Source organism: Homo sapiens, chromosome 12 (assembly GCF_000001405.40).
Source record: "Homo sapiens chromosome 12, GRCh38.p14 Primary Assembly".
In the NCBI taxonomy this organism is placed as follows: domain Eukaryota; kingdom Metazoa; phylum Chordata; class Mammalia; order Primates; family Hominidae; genus Homo; species Homo sapiens.
In genome coordinates this window covers 76386049-76398113 of record NC_000012.12, presented here as the reverse complement: position 1 = coordinate 76398113, position 12065 = coordinate 76386049, and the positions used below count along the sequence as shown (strand labels likewise).

The 12065-nt window shown below is 35.3% G+C and overlaps 1 protein-coding gene across 20 annotated transcripts in view; it reads left to right on the top strand.

The window, feature by feature from the left end:
• OSBPL8 (oxysterol binding protein like 8) overlaps positions 1 to 12065 on the top strand; it is a 207975-nt gene that overhangs the window by 161658 nt on the left and 34252 nt on the right. For all 20 annotated transcript variants that reach the window (NM_001003712.2, NM_001319653.2, NM_020841.5 and 17 more), the window contains 7 exons: positions 217 to 420; positions 3385 to 3469; positions 5362 to 5533; positions 7457 to 7694; positions 8285 to 8469; positions 11454 to 11535; positions 11848 to 11946. In NM_001003712.2, coding sequence (NP_001003712.1) covers positions 217 to 420; positions 3385 to 3469; positions 5362 to 5533; positions 7457 to 7694; positions 8285 to 8469; positions 11454 to 11535; positions 11848 to 11946 — 1065 coding nt within the window. The remainder of the gene's footprint in view (positions 1 to 216; positions 421 to 3384; positions 3470 to 5361; positions 5534 to 7456; positions 7695 to 8284; positions 8470 to 11453; positions 11536 to 11847; positions 11947 to 12065) is intronic.

Here is a 12065-nt window from a genome sequence, read left to right as displayed (position 1 = left end):
TTGGCCTGTCTCCCACTAAAATTTAAGTTTCTTAGAAATAAGAGCCATGTCATTTTCATGTCTGTTTGCTGTGCTTGCCATGTAGTAGCTTTTAAATAAAATATTTAAAGTGTACGTGTTATGGAAATTTTAGATTAAAACATCTTATTTGCAGTATTTTCGTTTGGACCTTGGAGAACAGATCTTCCTTTTTAAAATAAATTTATCTTTCTGTAGATTCGTGGTACTCTAAAGAGCTGGACCAAGTTATGGTGTGTGTTGAAACCTGGGGTGCTACTGATCTATAAAACCCAAAAAAATGGTCAGTGGGTAGGAACAGTTCTTCTGAATGCCTGTGAAATCATTGAACGTCCATCAAAAAAGGATGGCTTTTGTTTCAAACTTTTCCATCCTTTGGAGCAATCTATTTGGGCAGTGAAGGTATGTAAGCCCTTGTTACATAGGTGAAAGGTAAAGATGATAATCCATGAATAGAACTGAGATACATCAATCAAATGAGTTTAGTCCTCTGCCAGGACTTATAAATCTGTTCTGCTTTCCATTGCATTATTCCCCCATTCTGCCTCTACCCACAACAAAATGTGCACCAAAAAGCTTTACCTTTGAGGTCTAACTTTTTATATTGCATCTTTTTATCTCTTTTGCCCTTGGGGATTCAATTTGTACTGTTTTTTTCAGTTTCTAATTACTAACTCGGCTTTGTAACATTGTATTATATTTATTGTTGTTGGTTTTTTTTTTCCCACCCACCTGCCCCCACCCCCCCTCCCCACCCCCTGTGATTTTTCTCTTTGTCAAAATGGTAAGTAGGATTCCCTGGAACAGAAACTGCCATTTATTTTTATGGTCTTTCCTGTAGTGATGTAAAGCCTATAAGCAGAAGCAATCTTTCTTACTCTTAAAAAAAAAAATTTTTTTTAATTACTTACTCTTGAGAAAGAGGCAGGTTTCTTTAAAGATGAAGCATTAATGTTTTTTATAACTGCAAAGCATTACTGTGGCTGGGTGCAGTGGCTCATTCCTATAATCCCAGCACTTTGGTAGGCCAGGGCAGTTGGATCGCTTGAGCTCAGGAGTTCGAGACCAGCCTGGGCAACATAGTGAAACCCTGTCTCTGCAAAAAATACAAAAATTAGCCAAGTATGGTGGCATGTACCTGTAGTCCCAGCTATTCAGGAGTCTGCGGTGGGAGGATCACTTAAGCTTGGGAGGTCGAGGAGGCTTCAGTGAGCCATGAGCGTGCCACTGCACTTCAGCCTGGGCAACAGAACAAGACCCTGTCTCAAAAAAAACAAACAAGCATTATACTAACTGAATAAATGAATCAAGTTTAAGTGGTTTTGTGTATGTATGTGTGTTTTTTAGGCAAGGTTTTACTGTCACCTAGGCTGGACTGCAGTGGCATGATCATTGCTCACTGCAGCCTCAACCTCCCGTGCTTAAGCAGTTCTCCCACCGCAGCCCCCCAAGTAGCTAGGACCCCAGGCACGTATCACCATGCTCAGCTAATTTTTTTAAACATTTTTTGTAGAGATGGGGTCTTTCTGTGTTGCCCAGGCTGGTCTTGAATTCCTGGGCCCTCCTGCCTCAGCCTCCCAAAGTGCTGGGATTACAGATGTGAGCCACCATGCCTAGCCTAGTTTAAGTTTTTACGAAATGATCATTGCTTTAGTTTCTAAGAAGGCCAGCTATCGTAGAATAAAGAAGGTAGAATTTCTCCTTTAGGGAAAACCAACTAATTGAGATTACGGTTAACTAAAAGTAGCTTAATCCTTTTTTCTTGGGCGGGGAGGGTATTGCTTAATAACGTAATACACATACACCTAGGAAAAGACTTGGACTTTTTAATCGTTATTTCAGTAGTCGGGAGTCACAGCGAGAATACATTTGGGATCACCGAGTTAGTTCCATTCTGAGGTTAGGTGCTTCCTGCAGGGGAAAGAATTTAACCCCCCGAACCTCTGACATTTATATATTAAGCGATTCTCAAGTGGAGAAAACGACTTTCAAAACCTTTTTAAACAACAAAAAATATATATATAAACATACATATAAATACCATATATATACATATACAAAAATACTATATATACACACATATATGTATATATATATATAGTATTCTACTACTCTTAGGAATTGCAAGCATTAAAATAAATTTTTAAGCCATTAATGATTTTAATGTCAAATTTATAATATTTAATTCTTAATATTGGAAGAAGAGAGAAATCTGTATAATTATATAAATACTTCCCACAAGCAAAACCTACTTAGGATATTGTTTAAATATTTTAGAAGCCAGTGTTTGTGATTAAGAAATAGTAACAGCTATGAGTTCTTTGTGTCAGGTACTTGAATATTTTACATGAAATCATTTATTTAATTCTCATACCTATAAGGAGGATACAGTTTCTTCCCATTGTACACATAAAGAGATTGAACCCTGTTTTTCTAGCATGGAGCCATGATTGAAACCCAGGCAGTCTGATTCCATGTCCCACTATATACTGGTTTTAGGAACTGGCCCATAAATTGTAAAGCTATTTGAAAATGCAGATTATTACGGTATTTGTTAAAGTCATATTAAATTTTTTTTCTGTTTTCGTTTTGAATCTACATCTTTACTTTCTAATGTTATGCTTTTTGGAAATTTATTTCATTTTTTGACCTAATAACTTTAAAGAACCCTTTGAAAACAACTTAAAAATTATGCTTTTGTATCAAAATTATACTTTAAATTCAGTACTTAGTTTTCTTTCCAGATTCGTGTCTACCTAAGTTTAGCATTGGTGATACTAATTAGTGTTGGTATTGTATACTTCTAAAACAAACAACCCTAGCCAACAACAACGACAGAATTTCTTTTTCTTTCATGTTTCTGGAAAAATAAAATCAGCTTATATAGTTGGTGTTTAAAAACAGGTGTATGTCATTGGTTATAAAGTGGAGATTTATTTTTCCCTAGACCCAGTTAAAGTTCATTTCTCTTTTTTTAAATTATAATTCTATTTCCACATGCTTTCTTTAGCCTTCTAGAAATTTAGTATTTCTTATCTCATTAGTTGTATCCATGGGATGGACATTGTTAAAATTTGGTTTAATATGGTAAACTTTAGGTTCTCTTTAGTATGTAAGCAGTATGTAGAGATAATATTTAAGTGATAATTCATTTGTTCAGTTTTCTGCTAAGGAGATATATTTGTTAGAAAATTTTTCTTAATACTTAACATTTGCATTCTCAAGAATGATGAAATTAAAGCTCATTTGCCTTTAGATTATAATCCATACCTGATTTAGATTATTACAGATAATATTGGATAGTGTAAAGATGAGATCTCATAATAATTACTCTATACCATTTATTTTGTTTATTTTGTTATTAAGGGTCCAAAAGGTGAAGCGGTTGGATCCATTACTCAACCCTTACCTAGCAGTTATTTGATCATCCGAGCTACTTCAGAGTCAGATGGTAAGTATAGTTTTTGATGGATTGGATTTTGGTCTTCATTTTTAAGAGTTTTTTTAATGCCACTTTGTATTATTCTGGGGAAATATATTTTTAGTATGGCATTTGCAGCAGAAGCATGGTAATCATAAATTGTTTTGAATGCTAAATATATGAGTAACTTAATAGACAAAAATCTGATAGAAAGGAAGCATTGTGTGATTTACTGAAGAGTTAGCAGTTCAGAGTTTTCTTCTTCATCCTCCATGGACATATTAACACCTTTTTATTTGTTAGTGGTCTTTATGGTACTCTTAAAGATATATTTAATACTTTTTATATTTTACTACTAAATGTTACCATTTATGAGACATATACATTGTTTTGGTTTTGTTTTTTTTTATGTAAGAGATTCGAGTACAACCTTTTTTATTCCTCCTTTAACACTTAATTCATGAAGCAAATATGGAGAGAGAAAAACTTAAATGATATCAAGGTAACTTTAAAATCTTAATAATTAATAATGGATTTTGTCCTCACTTTCATGCTTTCATGTTTCATAGTTTAGACAAGGTTGGTATAGGGAATCTTCTAACCTTCCAAAGTTTACTTTTATCTGATTTTTTTTGTTTTGTTTTGTTTTTGTTTTTGAGATGGAGTCTCGCTCTGTTGCCAGCCTGGAGTGCAGTGGCACGATCTCGGCTCACTGCAACCTCTGACTCCCTGGTATAAGTGATTCTCCTGCCTCAGCCTCCCGGGTAGCTGGGATTACAGGCACATGCCACCACGCCCAGCTAATTTTTGTATTTTTAGTAGAGACGGTTTCACCATGTTGGCCAGGATGGTCTCACACTCTTGCCCTCATGATTCGCTTGCCTCGGCCTCCCAAAGTGCTGGGGTTACAGGCGTGAGCCATCGCACCTGGCCTCAGATTTTTTTTTTTTTTTTTTTTTTTTTTGAAACGGAGTCTCACTCTGTCGCCCAGGCTGGAGTGCAGTGATGCGATCTCGGCTCACTGCAAGCTCCGTCTCCCGGGTTCACGCCATTCTCCTGCCTCAGTCTCCCGAGTGGCTGGGACTACAGGCGCCTGCCACCACACCCGGCTAATTTTTGTGTATTTTCAGTAGAGACAGGGTTTCACTGTGTTAGCCAGGATGGTCTCGATCTCCTGACCTCGTGATCCGCCTGCCTCGGCCTCCCAAAGTGCTGGGATTACGGGCGTGAGCCACCGCGCCTGGCCGATGATTTTTTTAAATTAAAATATAGGTATGAGCTTTCAATATGAAGATGCTTTACTTGGCTGATATTCCCAGCAAATCTTGAAGTGATATATATGAAAATTAAGAGCCCTAAACAAATATAAATGAAAAGTTTTCTGCTAATTCACTTTTAAATTTTTACTTAAAAAATAAAACTATTAATGTTTCTCTTAACTAATATGGCAGTTAATGGTAGCATTATGCAGGCATTTTCCTGACTTAAAAAGTTTCATACATACAAGTAGAATGGTTGTTAATCTTGAGGATAGACCTCCTATTAACAAAAACAGTTACTTCAGATAGTTTGTTTGTAGTAGAATCATAAATCCTCAAGTGTATTTTATGTACCTTGCTTGATACCTTCAAATTATACTGCATGTTAATGTTCTAAGATTTGAAAAATAAAGTATGTTTATTTTAGATTGGGTATAGTTTCTAATGCATGCTGTATACTATTCATTTATCAGTGGTGTGCTTAGTATGTGAAAAGCATTTGAAAAACGGAAAGATTTCATTAAATTCTAGCAAGATGTTATGTTCAGATTAACTTTTCCAGTGCATGTTTCTCAAAGAAATAGTGGTAACAGGGTAAGTTAAGATGCATGCTAGTTTCATAGTTTTAAAAATTATAGTGCTTATGAATCTGTGTTCTTTTAGGAAGGTGCTGGATGGATGCTTTGGAGTTGGCTTTGAAATGTTCTAGTCTTCTTAAACGTACAATGATCAGAGAAGGAAAGGAACATGACCTGAGCGTTTCATCAGATAGCACACATGTGACTTTCTATGGCTTACTACGTGCTAACAATCTCCACAGTGGTGATAACTTCCAGTAAGTAGATACTGCCGCTGAGTTGGTAATGTTTCAGAGACCATACTGTTCACAAAATTAGTTGGCAGGCCTAGAATTTTAGTAGTGTATCTAGGACTGAAATTTGCATATCTTCCCATTATATGGCCTAGGAACCGGCTTAAAATTTGTTTAGCTGCTATAATCAGGTGTAGAAATGTATTTCCTTGATTCCAGCCAACGTGATTTACTTTATCTTTCCCAAATATAGCCATGCTAATTATTCACCTTGTCTGTGCATGATGTCCCTTCTATTAAGAATGATTTCTGCCTACTCCTCCTTACGCTTTTCTCCTGTCTATATATTCTTCAAGATCAGTCTCAAATATTACATCATGTGTGAAACCTTATAACTATGAGACATAATCTGTCTTTCTATAGAGTAACATGTTTTTAGTAATGGCACTGGACTTAACTCTACCTGGTATTTGTGAAATTCATTTATATTTCTGTTTGGAATGGAACTGTATCCTATTTGTGGTTTTATTCCCTGAAGCATTTATTGTAGTTAACACTAAAAAAGCATTTCTCCAAGGAAACTGGGCAGTAGTGCAAAGACTTTCTTGAGATTCAGGTCTTTTTGTTGCTTTGCAGGAAAAACATTAGACTTTTCTATTTCCTCCCTGTCCCCACCCCTTGGCTTCTGCTCTGTAACCACTTTCATCAGCATTGAGGTTGCTCTTCTCAAAGTTAGACTGCTATTCTCCTCTTCTTCATATTGCCTGATTTAGACATTTCTTCCCTATCATTTTGCTTGTTTCTTTTTTTTTTCTGTCTGTATTACTTTAAAAAATTTTTTAGAGCCAGGGACTCACTCTGTTGCCCAGGCTGCAGTGCAGTGGCACAATCATAGCTCACTGTAACCTGGAACTCCTGGGCTCAAGCCATCTTCCAGTCTCAACCTGCCCAGTAGTGAGAACTACAGGCCTGTATTACCACACTGGGCTGGCTGGCTGGCTTATCTATTTATTTATTTATTGAGACATAGTCTCACTATGTTGCCCAGGTTTTTTTTCTTTTCTTTTTTCCCCCACTCTCTTTAAAATCTCCATTACCTGACCTTTTATGTTATTTCTTTGCAGACCTACGATCTGGAGCTTTATCTTAATCCCAAGTACCTGGTGCCCGAATGAGATAGGATGGAATGGGGTGGGCTACTGATAGAGGAATGGGTATTTGTTGGAACCTCTTTCCAAGACTTTCCCCCTTTTGTACAGATTTTTTGCCCTAATCACTTTAAGTGAGAATAGGGTAGATTAAGCAAAACTTACTTGATTTTAGTCCATAGGTTAATTTCTTTCAGCTGAAATTTTCATTTTTAATTCTCTCTGGATTTTGGCTCAGGATTAAACCTTTCAGACGAATAGAATTTAATATAATTGTTTATCATTTACCATTTTCATATATTTTTCTTGGACTCATGTGAGGTGACTTTGGAAACCTTCTTATACAGGTGGAAAGTCATAATTTATTTGAGTTCAGTTGAGAATCTGATTATCTGGACCTGCATTTTTTCTTCATACCATAAGTGACAGTGAGATTGATGCAAGTGATGCTGTTTGAAAAACTAAGAAAAATATCTAACAAGAAGTCTAAACTCTTGGTTTTGGAGGATTTTAGCCCCAAGTGGTAGAGAGGCAAAGAGCTCAGAGTGTCATCTTTTTGCATTTCTCTAGGTTTTTAATTTTTCTATGCCTCTGTTTACTAATCTGTAAAATGAGAATAATAATACTACCTATCTCATAGGGTTATTTTGAAGATTAAGTGAATTAACACTATGTAAAACACTTAGAACACTGTCTGGCACATAGTAAATTCTCAATAAATGTTGTATATAATTATTATTTATGAATTGAGCATTCTTAACATCCTTGATTCTTCCTCCTAAAAATTCTTTCCCTTAAGGTTAAATGATAGTGAAATTGAACGACAACATTTTAAGGACCAAGATATGTATTCTGATAAATCTGATAAAGAAAATGATCAAGAACATGATGAGTCTGATAATGAGGTGATGGGGAAAAGTGAAGAAAGTGACACAGATACATCAGAAAGACAAGATGACTCATATATCGAACCTGAGCCTGTTGAGCCTTTAAAGGAGACTACCTACACTGAACAGAGCCATGAAGAACTTGGAGAGGTAAAAGTCTGCTATTTTTAGAGGTTCTGGATTTTCATATTCTTGGGAATTCTTAAATGAAATTGAAGATATTATTTGCTTGATCTATTGCCTATTTTTCTGTGATAGAATGTGATATTTTAAAAATTGCATACATATGAAATATATTGGGATTTACAAACAACTAAACACATATACTCACATAAATACCAATATATTCTATTAAATTTAAAGTTTACATTTTCTTCAAGCTTGATTTTGAAGTAGGATATTGCTTGATGTCATTGCCAGGTGCAAAGTTGCAAGGAAACGTGAGTTTATAACTTTGTTATTGCCAGTGCATCATAGAAGTAAATGTAGTATAAAATAATAGGCTATAATATTTTTGTAGTGGATCTCTTGTATATATTGTTCACTTTGATGTCTTTTTCAGCTACCCTTTTTTACCTAAGTTTTATAGCTATAGATTTTATTATTATTTTTTGTTTCCACATTTAAAGAATGCTTGGAGTAGTCCTGAGAAGAGTTCATATTTTCAACATTAGCTGGCTTGTTTACATATCTGTCTGAAATAAATATAATGTTTTGGTAATTTTCATTAATTGATAAAGGCAGGTGAGGCTTCTCAAACAGAAACTGTATCTGAAGAAAACAAAAGCCTTATCTGGACACTATTGAAACAAGTCCGTCCTGGCATGGACCTATCCAAGGTGGTTCTGCCTACATTTATTTTGGAACCCCGTTCTTTCCTGGATAAACTTTCAGATTACTACTATCATGCAGATTTCCTATCTGAGTAAGTAGATTCTTATTTCTTAAAATAGACAATACTTCATGATTTTAGAAATTCTCAAGAATGCTATTTTCAATTATCGTTTGTTTCCAAAATCAGGCTCTAATGAGACATCACTCTCTGTTCTCTACCACTTCTGTGGTTGACCCTTAGTAAGAAGCATGTTTGATACTTTGCTATAATGTTGCCATTTATGAAGTTAAATTGAGATATCATAAGCTCGAGGAAAACAAGAATTCTACCCTTTACTCAACAACACTGCCGTTATAGGCTCCTTAACCTCAGTTCACTAACCTAACAGAGAGAGAGAGGTGATTGGCATCATTTGTTCTCCTCTACAAAAACACTTGTTCAGTCCCATCCTGGGGCATCTGTGTTTGCTCATACTTGTCTGTCTGCATGCTTGTGAGGTATGTACGGCTTACCAGAACTAGAATGCCCTGCCAGTTGCTAGCTTTTGGAACAAATCCTTATTTTCTTTGCTTTTCTGAAGCCGCCAGCTGATCCTGGGTGTAATTTTGAAGAAGGCACACCTAAAGGAGGCAGAGGAGGTGCTATCCACCTCTGTCCCAGCAATTTCTTGGAAAACCAGTAAACTTTGCAAGGAACAGCAACTTTGTGTCCATGCTTCCAATTCTTACCTGATGCCCCTATTCCAGCAATAATGGTGTTTCAAGGCACTGTGCTTTCTGTGCCACTGATATCTGGCCCTGCGACCTAATTTTTAGAATCTTTATCAAGACTTATTTTCGGTTTTTGTCTATAAATGGCATGAGCGAACATTGAAAAAAATAAGCTGAGTCAAAAAATAATTGGTAAACTGGGAAATTTTTGCAAATTTCATCGTAGACAAAATGTTAACCTCCCTAAAAAAAGCTCTTAAAAATTGAATGAAAATGATTCTATAGAAAAGGAAACTTACAGAAAAAGGAGTGGAAGAAATTACTGGGCAGTTGGAAAATGAAGAAATAGGAACAGTCCTTAAACATGTAAAAACCTCATGCAAAATAAGGAAAATGTACATTTGAATTATAGTAAGTTATTGTTGTTTATCCACCACATTGACAAAAAGTCAAAAAGCTTTTATATCCTCGTTCTAATATCTTCTGCACTTTTGTCGGTCTAGAAATTCATTTCTCTCAGAATGTAAGGCAAATTCCTGTGAATCACAAGATTTTCTTGAGAGATGCCCCCTGTCTCAAATAGAAAGATTGTACTTTTCTGGCATTACACACTGTTGCCAAGATTCTGTTGGCAATCAGGGACTATCATACACTACCGTGGGCAGTGCAGACTAGCACAGCACCCTGAAGGTAATCTGGCAGTATTTACCAAAAGTATAGATGCATTCATCATTTGATCCACTAATCTCACTTCTCGGAATAACTCCTACAGATATAATGCCACATATACAGAATGGCATATATACAAGATTGTTGCAGCAGGGTTTGTAATAATAAAACATTAGATATAACTCCAGTGTCCAGCACAGTGTACTGGTTAAACAGTGTGTGATACATCCACCCATATAAGGAAGAATTCCATAAACTGATCTGTAGGGACCTCCAGAATTGTGTGTGAAAAAAGCAAGGTGTACAGAAGAGTATGTATAGTTTGCAACCCTTTTTTAAGAAAAGCAAGACTGTTTATTTATATATGCTTGTTTATGCCTAAAGAAAACTTAAAAGGAAGCTTTTTTAAAAAGTTACCTATAGAGGGTAAGTAGGAACAGTGTGGAGAGACGGGGCAGTAACAAGACATGTGTACCTCTTTATATTGCTTTGACTTTTGAACTATATATATTTAATTTTAAAATAAAATTGCATAGTAAGGGAATTTAAACCAAGATGGAAAGAGAGCAATCAGAGGGTTGTTACTCCAGAAAAGCACAAGCTTTCAACTTAGCACCATTGTCAATAAGCCTAGGTCTGTGCTCTTCTGTCTCACATCTCATCTTAAAAAATCACCACATTGGACTGTCAGACATGCTTGTGAAACGTAAATGCCTTTTTGTAAATAAGGGCATAGTAGCTACATTACAAACAGAAAACAACAATAACAAAATCAACTTCTCAGTAAAATTTACTTCAGACATACACAATCAGGTTTTTGCAACGATTGCAACAAAAGCAGAATTGTATGGAGGGCAGCTGAGTCATGGCTCCTACAAATTTCTTCTTTAAAATAAAAATTACTCTTTGATTATCCATTATTCTGGTTGAGTTTTTATTAATTCTGGAAAATCAGTTGATAGCACACAAGAGCAGGTTGAAGAATAAAAATAGGTTAAAACCTTCCGTATTGATTTAATTATTTTGGCTCTGCATCATATTTGTAATTTGAAACTTCTGTGTTTTGTACTAAGGACTGCATACCCATAAAATCCTATATTTAGATAGGTACTTTGCACAAAAGAGGCTATCGTCAACCTATGTCCTCCCCTCCATGTACTACAGCATCCACCAGTTTACCATTGATCTCCTCTAACATCAACAACTGAGAATGGACTCAACCAAGTAAATATTGGTCCTTCAGTGACATGTGAGGCTGAAGACTTCTAACAAAATTGTTAATGAGGCTGCTTGGCCACTGCCTAACATTGCAAATGCTAGAAATCACACAGTGCCTGAATCCAAAATCCATGTTTATTTTTTTCAATCACAATTTTCACAGAGCCCCTAACAACATCTCAGGTTCTGCAGAATACCAATTCAGAAACCTTGGTTTGGAGAGTTTCCAAAAACTACTTTAGCGAAGACCCAGGCAGTGTATCAAAGAATAGGAAAATGGGGGAAAATGTGACCAGGTTAAGAAAAACAGAAATTGATTTACATGGTTGAAAATTGATTACATGGTTGTTTTGTCATCCATTTAAAATAAGAATTATGTTTTCCAATCATGTTTCATACTCGGTTATTGGTTAATAAATGTGAGAGAGAATTTGTGATACATTTTTTAAAATTTTTGTTTACCGTTTTGTGTTTTAGGGCAGCTCTTGAAGAAAATCCTTATTTCCGTTTGAAGAAAGTAGTGAAATGGTATTTGTCAGGATTCTATAAAAAGCCAAAGGTAATAATGTTTGTTTACATTTTATTGTCTTTAGTGTTTTATGAATTCTTTATATTTTATGTAATCTGTAGATTGTGTGTTAACAGTTACATTACTGGGCTTCTTTGACGTAGCAAAATTGCAAAATACCTGATCATTTAGACATGTATTATGATTGAAGTCATTTAATTTTATTTAATGTAAATTTTATTTACTTTGAAATTTTATAAGGACGGTTCCCAGATGGTAGAGTTAAACCCATTTTGACTAGTTTAAACTATTTTGAATCCTTTGTATTTGTAATTTGAAATTGCTTTTTTTTTTTTTTACCAGGGACTGAAGAAACCTTATAATCCTATACTTGGCGAGACTTTCCGTTGTTTATGGATTCATCCCAGAACAAACAGCAAAACTTTTTATATTGCTGAACAGGTATTAGAAATGCATGTATGGAAACAAAACTGATCTGGAAGTTATTGGAATATTTTTATAGAAAATATTTACCCAGTAAACTCAATATTATTTAGCCTTTCTTATTTCTGAACATTTGG